The following is a 20,037-nucleotide window of genomic DNA, read 5'->3' as shown; positions in this document are numbered from 1 at the left end:
AATAATGAACAAGTCCAAATAAAGCCTACTATATAAAATTCAGATTTAAATAGGTTTATTTTATCTTCCTTTCCTTGTTCTTTTCCCCTCTTTTCCTCCTGTTCTTCCTATTTCTCACTTTTAGTTCTTTTATGCTTAGTAATATATACTATATTAAACTGAATAAGCCAGAAAACACTGAAATTTCTTTACCTATTATTAGTCCATTTTCATTCTGCTATGAAGAAATACCTGAGACCGCATAATTTATAAAGAAAAAGGGGTTTATTGGACTTACAGTTCCACATGGCTGGGGAGGCCTCACAATCATGGCAGAAGGTGAAGGAGGAGCAGAGGCACATCTTACAGGGCAGCAGGCAAGGGCATGTGCAGGGGAATCGCCCTTTATAAAACCATCAGATCTCATGAGACTTATTGACTATCATGAGAACAGCATGGGAAAAACCTGCCCCCATGATTCAGTTACCTCCCACCTGGTACCTCCCATGACACATGGGGATTATGGGAGCTACAGTTCAAGATGAGATTTGGGTGGAGACACAGCCAAACCATATTCCTATGTTGTTTCTAACCCTTGCAGTGACCCACCAGCAAACGTTATCATTCCCCACTCTGCAGATGAGAAAACTGAGGTTAAGCCTCTTTTCTGTTGTCACACATCTCATAAGTGCCAGACATGATTGCCTCTTCCAGATCTATCTCTAAAGCCTCTGCTCTTTTCCAAATACCATACTGTTCTGAAGCTAGTTCTTACAAGCATATTAGGAAAAATAGATCTTATAGCAAAAGCTTTTTACTTTTAGAGCTATTTATCCCAAGAACTGTTTATTACACAGAAAATTACACTTTCACAAAATATTTTTTGTTATGCTTTGAGCTTATGTAAATGTTTTATACTTACTTAATTTTATTTCTGTTCTCATAGCCTTGGTGGAGGACCAGATGATGCAAAAGAAATTATGAGACACAGTTTCTTCTCTGGAGTAAACTGGCAAGATGTATATGATAAAAAGGTAAGATTTCTTTATGGCATAGTGTGTATATATTTTGGCTGCACTGCTAAAATGAATTTATAGCAAAAATATTTTAAGTGAATAAAAGTTAATGATGTAATGATACTTTCCATTTTACCGACATTTAAGTGATTATTGAACTTCTGTGCACAAAATTTTACTCATGATTTTGACTCCCCAAATGCCTCTTGAGATTTTGCTCAACATGATCACAGAATTTTTCTATTTTTTTCCCATAATAATTTGTTTGCCTCTCATTATTTCTTTAATTTTAATAAAGATACCAAGTGTTAATTTTTCTTTAAGAAAACTAGTTAAAATTTTTTAATTTGCCCTTATGTCTTTAATTTTAAAGTGAACACTTCAGATTCATTTATACAAATCCTTGTTTTAAAAGAAATTTAAAGAAATTTGTTTTTAATATTTAATGAAGGTAGTAAACACAGTGTCTTACTTTGGACTTCTCTGTCATTTGAAACAGAACTTTATTGCCCACAAAATTAATACTACTAGGCCAGGCATGGTGGCTCATGCCTGTAATCCCAGCACTTTGGGAGGCTGAGGTGGGAGGATCACTTGAGGCCAGGAGTTTTGAGACCAGCATGGGCAACACAGTGAGACCCCATCTCTACAAGAAAAAAAAAAAATCAACTGGGCGTGGTGGCGCACTCCTAAGAAGGCTGCTAAGGCAGGCAGGAGAATTGCTTGAGCACAGGAGGTTGAGGCTGCAGTGAGCTGTGATTACACCACTGTACTCCAGCCTGGATGACAGAGTGAGACCCAATCTCTTAAAAAAAAAAAAAACAAAAAACAAAAAACCACTACTAATTACATATGTTTAGTTTTATTGTGATCTGCTTATTACTTTTTATTCATTTATTTATTTATTTTTTGAGGCAAGGTCTCTGTTGGCCAGGCTGGAGTGCAGTGGCACGGCACGATCACAGCTCAGCAGCCTCTACCTCCCCAGGCTCAAGTATCCTCTCACCTCAGCCTACCAAGTAGCTCGGACTGCAGGCATGAGCCACCATACCTGCCTACGTTTTTGGTACTTTTTGTAGGTTTTGCCATGTTTCCCAGTATGGTACTGAATTCCTGGGCTCAAACAATCCTCTCTCCTTGGCCTCCCAAAGTGCTGGATTACAGACGTGAACCACTGCACCCACCCTTCTTGTTCTTAGTACTGCAATTTTTGCTTAAGTTCAGGAGCAGGAAATTATTATGTCTGTCCCCCCCTCCCCCTGCTTTTTTTTTTTTTTTTTTTCCCCCACTACCTCAGATATTGTTAGTACAGACAGGGATTTTGATACTTTGATTTTCAGATGCTTGTATAAAATGTTTACTATGAAATGTTTTTCATTCAATAATCTACTCCGAATTTTTCTGTAATTATTTTTAGTTCATCCATTTCAGTTTATTCCAACATTTCATATTTTTCTCTGAAACATTTATTAGTCAACAACATTTATTTGGGGTCTGTTATGTGCCAAGTGTTCTTCTCTGTTAAGCCTTAAGGTAAACATAGAATTATGTCATATGAATTAGATGAGTTAGGAGGAAGTAACACAAGCACTTCATGTCTGTATTATGTTATTGGTTACTGGGAGTATGGTGATTTTCTGTTTCTTGTAACTAGGAATTTAAAATAGGTGCATCATATTAGACACCTCTACTCGATTCAACTCACATATCTTGAGTTTCTACTATGTATAAAGTACCATGTTAAGTACTGAATCCTTCACAACCTTTATGAGAAGCACTTGAGCATTCCTAAATGTTTATTCACTTCTTACAGACAATTTTATATCCACTTAGTATCACTGAGGATGTTCCTTATGAGTTGCATGCATATATAGGAATGCCTCTAATGAGCTGTGTACTGTTTTCATCGTGTCAGTACACTACAAAAGAACCTGGAAGGAAGAAGGGCTTGCTGTCTCTCCCAGAAATCATGCATGGTTTTATTTTTAATAAATAGCTAATAATAAGCTACAACTAAATATCATCCTTTCTAGACACCCTCTTCTAGGAGGACTTACTCCAAAAAAAAAGAAGAGGAAAAGAACCATTTCTTTAAGAGACAATGGTTGAGGTACCAATGTGGCCCTGTAAATTCAAGGAAGGGCCAAAATATGGACCTTCTTAGTCCTGTGAGGAAATAAGATTTGCTACAACGTTTCCTTATCTCAGTGTTCAGCTATTCATGTTGAATAAGAGTTTGGCCCCACCTGGAGAAAGCTCTGAGAGCCCAACCAGTATACCAGTAAGGAAGCAAGGCCTGTCCTATCTCAGCTCCACTGGGTTAGACATGCCCAGTGTAAAGGTGATAGTAAGACAGCCAGGAGCTACCATGTGGGAATGGAATTAGGGGAGCCAGCAGCTCTGGCAGGGAGGAGGAGCTGCCTAAACACCTTCTGATGACATGTAGATAAATTCGTTCAAGTTGTTATAATTATTTTTTTTTAATGGGTGCCACTTAATTTGAGCAAAGGTGTTAAATATCTTGCATAAAGAAGCACAACCCAAAATGACTGTTTCTGTAAACAATAGATTGGTCGTGGATTGGTGCCATCTACAGGCTTACTCACGGTGTCCTGTGTGACCCGCGAGGCTCTGGTGTTCTCTGCCGCCCCATATATACTTGAAGGAGCAACTTTATTATAGCAGCACTTTTAAATTTGAGTTTCTTTCTAAAAGGAAAATGTGATTGAGTCTATTTGGGTTTGTATCATATCACAGATGAACATGAAATTAATTTTGAGAACCAGCCTGGGGGTTAGTAGCTGTTTTAATGAATTCAGTTAAAATTTCAGTGTTTTAGTGTAAATTACTAAATAATTTATAAAATAAAACATTTTAATGGAGTCCTTATATCTTTAAAATGTGTAATTTATTGTAAAAGTCAATTCATTCCTAAGATCAGGGATTATTGTTACATTTTTATTGTTTTGATAAATTTATTCTTAATTTATTATCACATAATTATTGGTTATTTTTCTACTTATTGCTGCACATCGAGAGGTGATGGCACATCTAGAGATTCTGGCATCTGTTGAGGAGATCTGAATCTCTTTCTAGGCAAAGTAAAAAGTGAAAGTAATCTTAATTACAAGTAGCATGATGTACCACTCTAAAGAGCACAGTATCAAAACATGAAAGAACAAAGTTGGATCCTGGTCCTGGATTTGCTTCTTGCTTTCTTTGTGGAAATGGACAGGTCATTTACTCATGCAAAAGATATGATCCTTTAACTACCTTCAAGCTTTTAAGATTCTCTAGCAGGGTGTTTTATAGCATGAATTTATCTAGATTAATGTCTATATAGATTTCTACGTAAATTTTACACTCTGTCAGTCTGCTAAGATTTTGTGTGAGATTGTGTTGAATCTGTAGATAAATTTAGGAAGAGCTGACATCTTAACAATGAGTCTTCAGATCCATGAATGCAATTTATTTCTCCATTTATTTAGGTGGTCTTTAATTTCTCACAGTAATGTTTTGTAATTTTCAATGTTTAAGTCTTACACAAATTTTGTTAGGTTTATCCTTACGTGTGTTTCATGTCTTCCAAGGGAAATGATATTTAAAATTTCATTTTCACTTTGTTTTACTGCCAGTATATAGAAATACAGTTGGTTTTTTCATATTGACCTTTTCTCCTGCAGGCTTGCAAGAATTAGTTGTAGTAACCTTTTTTGTAGATTACTTACAATTCTCTGCACAGACAATCATATCTTCTGTAAATAAAGTTTTACTTCATTTCTAATCTGTATGCATTTCCTTTCTTCTTTTGCCTTGCTGTATTGGCTAAGACCTTCATTATAATGTTGAATAGTGGTAAGAGTGAGCATCCTGACTTTGTTTCTAGTCTTAGGGAGAAAAGCACCTTTTACCATTAAATATGATGTTAATGAGCACATCTAGCAGCCAGATCTGGGTTTCTAACTATTATTCTCCAATAAAAGGAACCAAGGCTCCTTGAGGACGCGACTGATTTCAGCACTAGTATAGGGGGAGAAAAAAAGATGAGCGTGGAGAATTTTGTGGTGTCAGAAAGTAAGGAGGGAGCCTTAAAAAAAAAAGGCAAGACCTAGAAAACAGCCCAAGCTGAAGGGTCCTGTAGCAGAAGCTGAAACAATTTCAGTAATAAAGTAAATATAGTGTTAGTTTATGATCCAAAGGATGAAATATGTAATCATGAGTCTATATTGCATAAATAAGTGATTGATTGTCTAAATAAAGTGTTGAGAGGGACATGTCTTCCTTACAGATGAATTCCAATTAATGTAAAAGAGGTGAGTAGAGTAGAAAATCAAATCACCATTAGAACTCCAGAGTGAAAATTGCTCATTCAGAATTCACCTATGAATATTAAAATTAGTAAGCAAAAGTTTAGGAAAGAGGATATTTCCATACTCTCAAGATATCTCCCTGTGAACATTTATCATTTACAAAGGTAAAATGACTAACTTTACAGTGGAGAGATCTGGAAAACACAGTTTTAACCAAGTGATCACGGTTAACATCACCAGTAAGTAAGATGTTGACTTCATGGAACCCATGATAAGATGCTCTGAGAAGGGCACAGTACTTTTGAAGTGCTCTCCTCCAAGATGCATAACCTCAGTATAATCATGAGGAAACCTGAAGAACTCACAGGGAGGGACATTCCTCGAAATACCTGGCCTGATAACTTTAAAAGTGTTAGCCTCATGATAGGCAAAGAATGATGATGGAACACTCATAGATTGGAGAGACTAAAGTGGCATGATGACTTAACTGCGATGTGGGATCCTGGGTTGGGTCCTGGACTAGGCAGGGGCATTGGTGGAAAAACTGGTGAAATTGAAATAAAGTTGGTAGTTTAGTTAATAGTATTGCACTGATGTTAATTTCTTTGTTTTGATATTCATACTATGGCTATACAAGATACAGAGGAAGGTGGGTAAAGGGCATATGGTAACTATGTGTACTATATTTTTGTAAGTCTTCTCTAAGTCCAGAATTATTTGAATATGTTATAAAAACATGATGTTATAATATAGATGTTTTATGCCTCCTTTATCAGATTGAGGAAGTTCTAGTCCTAGGTTACTGAGAGTTTTTAAAATCATGAATGGGTATTGAATTTTATTAAAGCTTTTTCTGCACTTACTGCAATGATCATATGGCTTTTCTCTTTTATGTTCTGTTAAAATGGTGAATTAACATTGATTTTCCAAAGTTGAGTGAACCTTGCATTCCTGTTGAAAAAAACCACTTGTTCATGATGTGTTATTATATATTGCTAGCGTTGGTACATTGTATTTCTAAGGATATTTGCATCCTGAAATCCTGAGTGATATTACTATGTCATCTTCTTTTCCTAAAATGTCTTTGTATAATTTTCACTTCAGGATCATGTTTGCTTTTTAAAAACAAAAGGGGAAGTACTCCTCCTTTCTCTTTAATTTTATTGAATTGTTTGTATGGGATTTGTATTATTTATTAATGAAATATTTGGTGGGATTTACTAGTGAAGCTCTCCCTAGACCTGGAGTTTTGTCTTTGTTGGTAAGTTTTTCACTGTGAATTCAATTTATTTAATAGTTACAGGGCTGTTGTGGTTATCTGTTGTTACTCAGATGAATTTTGCTCTTTGTGTCTTTCAAGGAATTTATCATCTAAGTTAAGTTTCTCTCTAAGGACTGTTAGTCATGCTTTGCACATTTTGATGTGCTGTGTTTTCATTTCAAAAGAGTTTTAATTCCCCTTGTGATTCCTTCTTAAGGGTTATTTGTAAGTGTGTTGATTAATTTCCAAATATATGGATTTTTCAGATATCTTTCTGTTACTGATTCCTAGCTTAATTCTCTTTTGGTTGGAGAACATATTTTATATGATTTTAATTGTTTTACACTTTAAAAGATTTGTTTTATGGCCCAGAAAATGGCTTATGTTGCTGTATGTTCTATATACACTTGAAAGAATCTATACATTGACCCTTGAACAATGTGGGAGTTACGGGCACCATGCTCAAAAACCCAGTAACTTTTGACTTCCTAGAAACTTAACTACTAGTAGCCCACTGTTGACGAAGCCTTAATGAACAGTTGATTAACACATATTTTGTATGTTATTTGTATTATATACTGTATTTTTATAATATAGTAAGCTACAGGAAGGGAAATATTATTAATAAAATCATAAGGAAGAGGAAATATATTTACTATTCATGAAGTGGAAGTGGATTATCGTAAAGGTCTTCCTCCTCGTTGTCTTCATGTTAAGTAGGCTGAGGAGGAGGAGGAAGAGGAGGGATTGGACTTGGCTGTCTCAAGAGGTGGCAGATGCAGAAGAAAATCCGGGTGTACGTGGGCCCATGCAATTCAATCTCATGTTGTTCAAGGGTCAACTGTATTCTGCTTTTATTGCATAAATTGTTCTACCAGTGTTCATTAGGTCAAGACAGCTGGTAGTATTGTTTATGTCTTCTATATTCTTACTGATTTTCTGCCTACTTGTTCTATTGGTTTCTGAAAAAGATAGTTGATGTCGTCAACTATGATCGTGGACTTTATCTTTTAGGTTTTGCCTCATGTGTTTTGAAGCCTCATTGTTAGTTGCATACATATTTAGATTAAGGATTGTTTTCTTGGTGAATTTACCTCATCTTTTTTTCTTTTTCTTTTTTTTTTTAAGAGATGGGGTCTTGCTATTTTGTGCAGGCTGGATTTGAACTCCTGGGCTCAAGCAATCCTCTTGCCTCAGGCTTTTGAGTAGCTGGGATTGCAAGCATACATCACTGCGCTCATCTTTACCTCCTTATCATTAGGAAATGTTCTTCTGTATAGATGGCAGCAATATTTGTTTTGACATCTACTTCATCTGATATTAATATAAGTACTCCACCTTTCTTTTGCTTTTGTGTAATATATCTTTTCCCATCATTATACCTTTAACCTATGCCAATTATATTTAAGTGGATATTCTTTTAGACAGCATATAGTCAATTCTTGTTTTTCTGTTATTCATTAGAAAATACGACTTAATGTAATGGGTAGCCCGTTTTCATTTAATGTACTTAATGACATACTTGGGTTTAAATATACAATCTTGCTGTTTGTTTTTTTTTTCTTTGTTCCTTTTTTTCTCTTTGTCTGCCTTCTTTTGGATTTGTTGAATATTTTATGGTTCCATTTTATCACTGCTATTGTCTTCTTGTATGTCTGTTTTATTGTTTGGAGGTTGTTTCTAGAGTTTGCAGTACACATGTTTAACTTAGTCTACCTTGAGTCATAACCAATTCTCATACAACAGCATATTTCTGTTTCCTCCATCTATTCTTTAGGCTATTATTTTCTTACAGTTTACTTTCACATATGTTAATAAACACCACAATACATGGTAATGGTAATTAGATTTTGCTTTAGATAATTATATTTTAAAGTGGTTGAAAATGCTACACATTAACCATTATTAGCACTCTCCATTCCTTTACATAGACTATGCTTCTACCTGCCGTCATTGTTTTCTTGATTATAAGGCTCCTTTAACTCCACTTCCACCTCCCTGGGTTTGGAAAAATTCATGGAAAAATGTGTTTGAAGGAATACAGGATTGGGAAATGAAGGAAATGGGACATTTCAGAATGGGAAAACAATGTGAGAAAAAAAAGTAGTAACAAGAGAAGTGAATGAAGATATGCTGACTGGAGGAACTGGGAATCTGTGGTGGATAGAATCTGGATGTAAACAGCGGACAGGTGGCCTGTGAATACACTGCGGCTTCTTGAAAGTCGACCTCGTATGTTTGCTTGATCCACTTAACAGAACTGTAGATGCTGAAGTAAGGAAATGACACGCAGCAACTGGATTTTTTCAAGTTTTGTTGGAATAGACTCTTATGGAGAAGAGCCTGGAAAAGGGAATCTCATTAAGAGACTACTGCAGTAATACAGTGTTAAGTGACAGAGCTCTTACTAAAGCAGAACATAGGCAACAAAGGGAAAGGAAGTGTGAATTCCATAGAAATTATCAAGAAATTGAGGACTCCTATTTTAGTCTGATAATACTGGGGAAAATACTGGGAGAAAGTTTAAGGAAGAGGATTATAGCTGGTTTTTGGTAATTAATTTCAGATAGAATTGTCTAATGGCTAGAAATATAGCACTTCTGGGAGTTAAAATGGAAATAAATATGTCTGGAAATTCAGAGTTTAATTAGAGCTGTGGAAATGATTAAGGAGGAGAGGGCTAAGGAAATGGATAGGAGAGAGGGAAGAGAAAATTTGAAAGGGAAGTCAGGAGGGAGGGAAGCAGTGAGAATGTGGAAGGTTGGGATTGAGTGCTGGAAAATATTCATGGTCAATAATGGAAGTTGGTTTGAGGACACATTTTTGCAAGGTGTATCAAGATCATTTGTGAAGCATCGTGCCAGAGTTGAAGTGGAACTTTCCTGAGTTGTGACTTTCTACTTTCTGGTTGAGATATTCAGCCTGAAGAGTTCGGTGATTGATGGCAGTTACGCAGAGGTTAATGATTGTAAGCTACTGCTTTACAAGTGAAGCAAGGCCAGAGGAGTAGAACAGATGCACCAGCGGAAGAGAGATGAAAGGCTGAAAATAGGTTTCTATTTGATACTTCCCTTATCACACTCAAATAATGGCCCACTTTTAAACTTGGGGTCAAAGAAAGATGTGTTCCAAATACCTGCTAGACATTCTGATGGCTAAGCCTTACAATTAGTGTCTTCTTTTGGTCATGAGGCATTGTACTTAGGATATAAAAACACAAACAGCTGTCAAAACCAGTGTTATTTCTGGCATAAAATGTATACAGTTAAAGCTTTAAAAGCCTTCAAATTGGGTTAGGAAATATAACTAGATGTTCCTTACAAAAAATCTCACCTAGAATAAAATTACACAGCAAACTGGAAAAAATAAGAATGAGGAAAAGCTTAATCATCAAATGACACAAAAAGTAAACAGAGGCAACAATAATAATTTGAGGCTAAGTAGATTTCAGATATTAAACGTGATAAGTAGATCATGTGTAGCATAAATGAGAAACATATTTATTTGCACCAAATAACAGCATCTATATGCACAAAACAAACACTATTAAAAATGCAAGAATTAACTCAAGATGGATTGGAGACATAAATGTAAGACCTGAAACCATAAAAAATTCTAGAAGAAAACCTATGAAAAATTCTTCCGGAGATTGACCTAGGCAAAGAATGTGTGACTTAAGTCCCCAAAAGCAAATACAGTAAAAACAAAAATAAATAAATGGGGCTTAATTAAACTCACAAGCTTCTGCACAGCAAAAGAAATCATCAACAAAGTAAATAGACAACTTACAGTTTGGGAGGAAATATTTGCAAACTTTACTTCTGAAAAAGGGCTAATACCCAGAATCTTATAAAGAACTCAAATCAGCAAGAAAAAATTCAAATAATTCCATTAAAAAGTGGGCAAGCAACATGAATACACATTTCTCGAAAGAAAATATGTGCAAATGGCCAACAAACATGGGAAAAAATGTTCAACATCACAAATCATCAGGAAACTACCAAATAAAACCACAGTGAGATACCATTTTACCCCAATCAGAATGGTCATTTTAAAAAAGTCAAAAAACAATAGATGTTAATGTAGATGCGGTAAAAAGGGAATGCTTACATGCTGTTGGTGGGAATGTAAATTAGTACAACCTCTGTGGAAAACAGTATGGAGATTTCTCAAAGAACTACTAGTAGATGTACCATTCGATCCAGGAATTCCACTAGTAGGTATCTACACAAAGGAAGTCATTCTATACAAAAGGATACATATACTCATATGTTTATTGCAGCACAATTCACAATTGCAAAGATAGGGAATCAACCTAAGTCCTCATCAGCCAATGAGTGGATAAAGTAAATGGGATGTGCACACAGACACACCTTGGAATATCACTAGCCATAAAAAAGAACAAAATAATGTATTCTGCAGCATATAGATGGAACTGAAGGCCATTATCCTAAGTGGGGTAACTCAGGAACAGAAAATCAAATACTGCATGTTCTCACTTAGAAGTTGGAGCTAAGCTATGGGTATGCAGAGGTCTACAGAGTAGTAGAGTGGACACTGGAGACTCAGAGTGAGGGGAGGATGGAAGAGGGAGGTGAGGGATGAAAAGTCACCTGTTGGGTACAACGTACACTATTTGGGTGATGGGTACACTAAAGCCCAGAGTTTACCATTATACAATTCATCCATGTAACCAAAAACCACTGTACCCCTAAAGCTATTGAAATTTTTAAAATATATTTTAAAATAATTTTAAAATATATTTTAAAATTATTTTAAAATTTTAAATATATTTTAAAATATATTTTAAAATTTTTAATTTTATATTTTAAAATTTATGCAAGGGAGCTGATAGAAATACACTTACTTAACATGTCTAGAGGTTTATCAGTTCATTGATATTTACAAAGATCTGGCTTTTGCTTTTGTTAGTTTTTCTCCATTGATTTTCTGTTCTCTGTTTCATTGATTTCCGCTCTAATTTTAATTATATCTTTTCTTCTCCTTACTTTGGATTTAATTTTCTCTTTTTCTAGTTTTGTAACCTGAAAGCTTAGATTATTTGTTTTCGATCTTTTCTAATTTGTGCACTCAATGCTATAAATTTTCCTCTAAGCATTATTTTAACTGTATCTCACAAATTTTGATGTTTTATTTTCATTTAGTTACAAATAGTTTTAAGTTTTATTGAATTATTTAATATGTGTGTTGTTTAGAAATGTGTTGTTTAGTCTACAGGTATTTTGGAGCTTTCCAGCTATCTTTCTGTTACTGATTTCCAGTTTAATTTCATTGTGGTCTGAGAGCATACTTTTATATGATTTTTAAAAATTTGTTAAAGGTGCATTTTATGGCCCAGAACATGGTCTGTCATGATGAATGTTCTGTGTGAGAAGAGAAGAGTTACATATTCTGCTTTTCTTGGATAAAATATTCCATAATGTTGATATTAAATCCAGTTGATTGATGGTGCTGTTTAGTTCAGTTATGTCCTTAACTGACTGGGGGGACATGTTGATGTGTCCAACTATAATAGTAGAGTCATCTGTTTCTCCTTCCAGTTCTATCAGTTTTTGCCTCACGTATTTTGATTCTGTTGCTAGACACATACACATTAAGGACTGTTATGTTTTCTTGGAGAATTGGCCCAGGTATCATTATGTAATGCCCCTCTTTATCTCTGATAGTTTTCCTTGCCCTACTTTGTCTTAAATTAATATAGCTCCTCCCACTTTCTTTAAATTACTATGAGCATGCCTATCTTTTTTCCATCCCTTTACTTTTAATCTATCAGTGTCTTTATATTTAAAGTGGGTTTCTTGTAGACCATATAGTTAGATCTTGTTTTTTTTATCTACTCTGACTGTCTCTGTCTTTTAGCTGATGTCTTTAGACCACTGACATTAAAAATGATAATTGATACAGTTGGATTTCTTACAGGTTTTTTTGTTTTTCTTTTTGTTTTTGGAAACGGAGTCTCGCTCTGTTGCCCAGGCTGGAGTGCAGTGGCACAATCTGGGCTCACTGCAAGCTCCGCCTCCCGGCTTCACACTATTCTCCTGCCTCAGCCTCCCGAGTAGCTGGGACTACAGGCGCCCACCACCACGCCCGGCTAATTTTTTGTATTTTTAGTAGAGATGGGGTTTCACCATATTAGCCAGGATGGTCTCGATCTCCTGACCTCGTGATCCGCCCACCTCAGCCTCCCAAAGTGCTGGGATTACAGGCGTGAGCCACCGCGCCCGGCCTTCTTACAGTTTTTTATCCATTGCCCTTGCTGTTTCTTTGTGTGTGTGTGTATCCCATTTTTATTCTGCCTTCTCTGGTTTAATTGAGCATTGTATAAGGCAACATTTTTCCCTCTCATAACATATTAATTGAATAAATTATGCTTTTTTAACTTTTTTTAACTGCCAGCCCTTGAGTTTGAAGTATACACTTATAACTAATTCAAGTCCTCTTTTAAATAGCACCATTCATTTCACAGATAGTACAATTGCCATAGGTACTTTGCTCTTGTGTAGAATATTCTATAAATGTCAGTGATAGAATTGGCTAATAGTGTTAAGTCTTCTGCATCTTTACTGATAGCTTAATGGCTTGCTTTTATCAGTTACTAAGAGAGAAGTGAAACCTTCAACTATAATTATGGCGTTGACTATTTCTGTTTATAGTTCTATCAGTTTTGACATTTTTTTAGTTCCATGTGTAGATGCACCCAAATTGTAGTATTGTTATATCTTTTTGGTAGTTTTACCTCTTCATTATTTTGGTTAACCAATTTATTGGTGTAAAGATTACAACGGAAATAAATGAAATCGATAATTGAAAAGCAATAGAGAATAATGACCGAAACCGAAAGTTGGTTATTTGAAAAATCAGCAAAACTGACAAAACTTTAAATGGATTGACTAAGGAGGAAAAAGAGAAAAATGAAATACTGAATCAGAAATGAAAAAAGATATTACTCCTGACTTGAGAGAAATAGAAAGGGTTATAAGATGATACTCTGAAGAAGTGTATGCCACCAAGTTGAGTAACCTAGATGAAATGGACACATTCCTGGAAATACACAAATCACCAAAATGACTTAAGAATAAATTGAAAATCCAAATAGACCCCGTAACTCTTAAAGAAATAAAATCACTAATCGCAAACCTCCCACCAAAGAAAAGCCCAGGGCCAGTTGGCTTTACTGGGGAAGTCTACCCAACACTTAAAGAAAAATTAATGCCAGTCCTTCTCAAACTCTTCCAAAAATTTGAAGAGGAGTGAACACTCTCTCACTTGCTCTATGAAGGGAGCATTATCCTGATGTCAAAACTAGAGGCATTATAAGAAAAGAAAACTACAGACCAATGTCCCTAATGAATACAGATGCAAAATTTCTTAACAATACTAGCAAACCATTCAGCAGTATAATTAAAGGATTGTACACCTTAACCAAGTAGATTTATTCCAGGAATGCAAGGATGTTCAACGTATAGAAATTAATCAGTGTAATGTCCCACATTAATAGAATGAAGGAGAAAACTTGCATGATCATTTCAACTGATGGGCAGCATTTGACAAAATTCACTCCTTTATGATAAAAACAGTAAAAAGAAAAAAAAGCTAGGAATAGAAGGAAACTGCCACAACATTATAAAGGTCATATATGAAAAATTCTTGGAAAGACTGTCCTTTAAGGGATCATTTCTATAGTTTGGAAAACCCTCAGCTCACATTATATTCAATGGTGAAAGACTGAAAGTTTTTCCCCTGAGATAAGGAAGAAAACAAAGATACCACTTTCAACATTTCTGTTAACGTGACACTGGAAGCTGTAGCCAGAGGAGTTAAATAAGAGAAATAAAAAGCAATCAAATTTGCAAGGAAGAAATAAAACTACCCCTACTAATAGGTGACATGATCTTATATGTAGAAAACCCTAAAACATACACACACACGTGCCACACTTGTGCTTAGAACTAATACATTCAGTAAAGTTGCAGGATGCAAAAGCAAGCTAGAAAATACATTGTATTTCCATATACTAGCTATCAACAATGTAAAATTGATCTTAAGAAGATCAATTTCATTTAAAATAGCATCAAAAAATGTCTTAGGAATAAATTTAACCAAGGAAGCACAAGACTTATACACTACCGACTACAAAACATTGCTGAAAGAAATAAAAGAAGACATAAATGAATGGAAAGACATCTCATGTTTATATATTGGATATTTAATTTAAGATGAGAGTACTCAAAATGATAATACAGATTCAGTGCAGTTTTTTCTTAATCTTATGGTAGAATACTATTCAAGAATAAAAAACAACTCAAATTTATAAGTATCAATATTGATAAATCTCAAAAAACAAACACAGAAAAACAAAATACTGAGGATATTTACAGAATACCGTACTACAAAAACTGAAAATGCACCATAAAAAGCATTGTATTTATGACAAAATATATATATGGGAGAAAACTATAAAAACTTGCATGCAAATGATATGAAGTAACTTCAGGACAATATTTGCTTGAATCATAGGTGATTGCCATTCTCACAGGTTAAAATGGTTGAACATTTCCAGGTGCAGTGACTCATTCCTGTGATCCCAGCATTTTGGGAGGCCAAGGTAGGAGGATTCCTTGAGCCCAGGAGTTCAAGACCAATGGCAAAACCCCACCTTTACCAAAAATAACAAAAAATTAGCCGGGCATGGTGGTGCACGACTGTAGTCTCAGCTACTCAGGAGGCTGAGGTGGGAGGATCATTTGAGCCCAGGAGATCAAGGCTGCAATGAGCTGTGATCACACTACTGCTCTCCAAGCTTGGGTGACAGAACGAGGCCTCATCTCAAAAGATAGAGAGAGGGATGGATAGATAGATAGATAGAATGGTTGAACATCAATGAGTAGGAAGAAGGTAGGTATTTAGCAGTAACTATTTTACATCTGAAAAAAACAGATGTTTGAAAATACATATAGTACAATGTTAACATCCATTAGATTTGGTTATCTTATTTTCTACTCTTAATGCTTAAACTAGTTCTTTTTTTATTTTCAATTCAAGTGTAAGTTAAAAGAAATAGAACACCAAGCTTAGGCTACTCAAGAAAATTGAAGAGTAGTAATGACCCCTTTGTCATTTCTGATTGTGTTTATTTGGATCATCTCTCTTTTTCAGTTATTCTAGCTAGCAGTCTATTTTGTTAATTCTTTCAAAAAACCAACTCCTGGATTTGTTCATCTTTTGTACTTTTTCTGCATTTCAATTTCCTTCAATTCCGCTCTGATTTTGGTTATTTCTTGCCTTCTGCTAGCTTTGGGGTTGCTTTGCTCTTGTTTCTCTAGCTCTTCTAGTTGTGATGTTACATTGTTAATTTGAGATCTTTCTAACTTTTTATGTGGGCGTTTAGTGCTATAAACTTCCTTCTTAACACTGCCTTAGCTGTGTCCCAGAGATTCTGGTATGTTGTATCTTTGTTCTCATTTGTTTCAAAGAATTTCTTGGTTTCTACCTTAATTTCATTATTTACCTAAAAGTAATTCAGGAACACGTTGTTTAATGTCCATGTAATTATATGGTTTTGAGAGAGTTTCTTAGTATTGATTTCTGTTTTTATTGTGCTGTGGTCTGAGAGTGTGGTTGGTATGATTTCAGGTTTTTAAAAATTTGCTGAAGTTAAACCATCCATGTTTGCAGACAGTATGGTTCTATATACCTAAACAACCCGATTTTCTCTGCCCAAAAGCTCTACAATCCAATAAACAACCTAACAAAAATTGACAAATTAACATAAGCAATATCTCAGGATACAAAATCAATGTACAAAAATCAGGATTCCTATGCAACAACAACATCTAAGCTGAGAGCAAAATCAAGAATGCAATCCTATTCACAATAGCCACAAAAAGAATAAAATACCTAGGAATACAGCTAACCAGGGAAGTGAAAGATCTTTACAATGAGAACTACATAACACTGGTCAGAGAAATCAGAGATGACACAAACAAATGGAAAAACATTCCATGCTCATGGTTGGGAAGAATCAATATTGTTGAAATGGCCATACTGCCCACAGCAGTTTACAGATTCAGTGCTATTCTTATTCAAACTACCAAGGACAGTCTTCACAAAATTAGAAAAAAAAACCAAACTATTTTTAAATCCATGTGGACCCGAAAAAGAACCCGAATAGCCAAGGCAATACTAAGCAAAAAGAACAAAGCCAGAGACATTACATTACGCAACTTTGAACTATACTGCAGGCTATAGTAACCAAAACAGCATGGTAATGGTACAAAAACAGACACATAGACCAATGGGACAGAATAAATAGCCCAGAAATGTCACACAGTTACAGACATCTGATCTCTGACAAAGTCAACAGTAAGAAGCAATAGGGAAAGGACTCCCTCTTCAATAAATGATATTGCGATAACTGGCTAGCCATATGCAGAGAAGGTGGAAACTGGACCCCTTTCTTACACCATATACAAAAATCAACTCGAGATAGATTAAAGACTTAAATGTAAAACCTAAAATTATAAAAAATGCCATATAAGATAACCTAGGAAATACCATTCTGGACATAGACCTTGGCAAAGACTTCATGACAAAGACTCCAAAAGCCATTGCAACAAAAACAAAACTTGACCTAATTAAAGAGCTTCTGCACAGCAAAAGAGACTATCAGCAGAGTAAACAGACCTCTGCAGAATGGGAGAAAATATTTGCAAACTATGCATCTGACAAAGGTCTAATATTCAGAATCTATAAGGAATTTAAACAAATTTACAAAAAAAAAAAAAAAAGCTCCATTACAAAGTGGGCAAGGGACATGGACAGACACTTCCCAAAAGAAGACATACATGTGGCCAACAGGCATATGAAAAAATGCCTAACATCACTAATCATTAGAGAAATGTAAATTAAAACCACTGTGAGATACCATCTCACACCAGTCAGAATGGCCCTCATTACAAAGTCAAAAAATAACAGATGCTAGCAAGATTGTGAGAAATGGGAACACTTATACACTGCTGGTGCAAATGCAAATTAGCTCATCCACTGTGGAAAGCAGTTTGGCAATATCTCAACTCAAAGCAGAATTACCATTTGACTCAGCAGTCCCATTATTGGAATGTAAATTCTTCTGCCATAAAGACACATGCACACATATGTTCATTACAACACTGTTCATAATAGCAAAGACATGGGATCAACCTAAATGCCCATCAATTACAGATTGGATAAAGAATGTAGTACAGATACACCATGGAATACTATGCAGTCATCAAAAAGAACAAGATCATGTCCTTTGCAGCAAAATGGATGGAGCTGGAGGCCATAAGCCTAAGCAAACTAACACAGGAACAGAAAACAAAATCCCGCATATTCTCACTTACAAGTGGGAGCTAAACATTGAGTACGTATCAACACAAAGAGAGGAAGAGCAGACACCAAGGCCTACTTGAGGGTGGAGGGCAGGAGGAAGGTGAAGATCAAAAAACGACCTACCAGGTACTGTGCTTATTATCTGGGTGATGGAATGACATGTACACCAAACCCCCCCATGATATGCAGTTTTCCTATATAACAAACCTACGTGTGTGCCACTCAACCTAAAATTTAAAAAATAGAGAAAATTGAAGAGTTAAGAAAGGAGCAGTAGCTAAAGGGAGCATGTAGAATGGGTGATATTTATTTCATACACTCAGGAATGATCCAAAAGGGAGTGTGAAATTGGAGCTACATAGAAACAAGTAATATTTAAGATAAAAACATACAGATAGTAAGATGTAAAGTGAGTAAATACAGAAAAAAATGTAAGATCTCTGAAGCATAGCTAACCTATAGAAAGGAGGTGGGATACCCTTGTAGTGACATCAATTGGAAAGAAGTAAGACGCCCACCAGAGCAGATGTGTTTATAAGCATTTAGGCAGAAAGTTATGGTATTTAGGCAGAAAGTTATGGTAGTTTCTGACTGAAGGCCTCAAATTCTCTCTCTCTCTCTCTCTCTCTGTGTGTGTGTGTGTGTGTGTGTGTGTGTGTGTGTGTGTGTGTGTGTGTGTGTGTGTGTGTGTGTGTTTTAAGAGATGGAGTCTTGCTGTAATGCCCAGGTTGGAGTGCAGTGGCACGATCACAGCTCGCTGCAGCCTCGAATTCCTGGCCTTAAGGGATCCTCCCGAATAGCTGGGCCTACAGGTATAAGTCCCACCATCTTTATGGCAGAAGTTCTGCCTTCTTATTAAGAGTGAGAAGAATGTTTTATGGTTGATATTAGAAGTTTTAAGACAGTGACTGTCACATGTAGGGATAGGCTCAGAGGGAGCTAGAGAGAAACCCAAGTAGGGACCTATAAAGAGGTACCGATTGCTGGAGGGCCCAGCTGAGGTTGAAAATCCCAAAGCCCAATTTTATGCTGACTGCTAAAGCCTTGTTCCTCGAAAGAAAAAATTATAATGATTATAAAACATAATTATATAAGTATTATATAAAGCACAACTTAGAAAAGATTTAAGAGGTATTCTAGGAAGATTGATTTAGAATGTTTGGATTATTTTGAAATGGATCTTAATACTTATTGCATTCCTACTTATCTTTCAGAGATTTCCTTCAGAAAAGAAGAAAAAATCTTGCCTCTAGAGAGTAATTTAGGTACTTTATAGTTTATTTTGGTCACTTGGTTGATACTCATTTCAATAGGATGGCAACTGATTACATAAGTAATATTTTTATCTATCATGTGCAAGGCACAGAGAGGCCTCAATGAAATAATGTCTCCTCTGAAAGGGCCTAAGTGAATCTTCCAGACCTTACTATATTAATTTTAAGTGTTTCGGTTTATTCATTAAACATCTGTGTTTCTGTTTGAAGATTAATCTTCATATCTGTCCCAGATTCTAAGTTAGGACTCTTAGTATTTATTATTTTCTTACGTATTTGCTGTTTCCAGTGTTATTCTTTTGTTAATTTTTTATTGAGATAATTCACCCTTTAAAGTATACACTTCCATGGTTTTTAGGGTCTTGACAGACTTATGCAACCATCACCGCTGTCTAATTTGAGAACACTTTCATTTCTTCATTTTTTTTTCTTAAAGATCCATGTTTTCGTCTGGAATAATTCCTGTTCAGTCTAAATTTTTTTTTTTTTTTTTTTTTTTTTTTTTTTTTTTTAACCATTTTTTGTAGTGCAGCTGGCAAAAAATTTGTTTTCTTTTATGGGATGATGTCTTTATTTTGCCTTCATTCTTAAAGGATATTTTTACTGAATATAAAATTGTGGGTTGATAGTTTAGTGAGTACATATTTAAATATTTCTTCCTTGCAAGTCATGTGGTATATTTCACTGGCTGTTTTCAAGATATTTTTGTTTGTGTGATGGCTTTGTAATATGTCAGTTGACTAGACTGAGCCACCTTTCCCAGGATTCCTTTTGCTATTTAAGATTCTCGTGGGAGATTTGGAGGA

The 20,037-nt window shown here is 35.3% G+C and overlaps 1 protein-coding gene across 11 annotated transcripts in view; it reads left to right on the top strand.

Annotated features, from left to right (window-relative positions):
- Positions 1-20,037, top strand: part of AKT3 (AKT serine/threonine kinase 3) — a 362,847-nt gene that overhangs the window by 304,557 nt on the left and 38,253 nt on the right. For 10 of the 11 annotated variants that reach the window (NM_181690.2, NM_001370074.1, XM_047420641.1 and 7 more), the window contains one exon: positions 926-1,013. In NM_181690.2, the coding sequence (NP_859029.1) occupies positions 926-1,013 (88 nt within the window). Of the gene's footprint in view, positions 1-925; positions 1,014-1,748; positions 1,751-20,037 lie in introns of all 11 variants that reach the window. The other variant, XM_047415643.1, reaches the window with a different exon arrangement.

The sequence above is a fragment of the Homo sapiens genome, chromosome 1, assembly GCF_000001405.40.
Source record: "Homo sapiens chromosome 1, GRCh38.p14 Primary Assembly".
NCBI lineage: Eukaryota > Metazoa > Chordata > Mammalia > Primates > Hominidae > Homo > Homo sapiens.
Note: the sequence above shows the minus strand (reverse complement) of the source record. Positions and strands in the feature narration are given on the sequence as shown.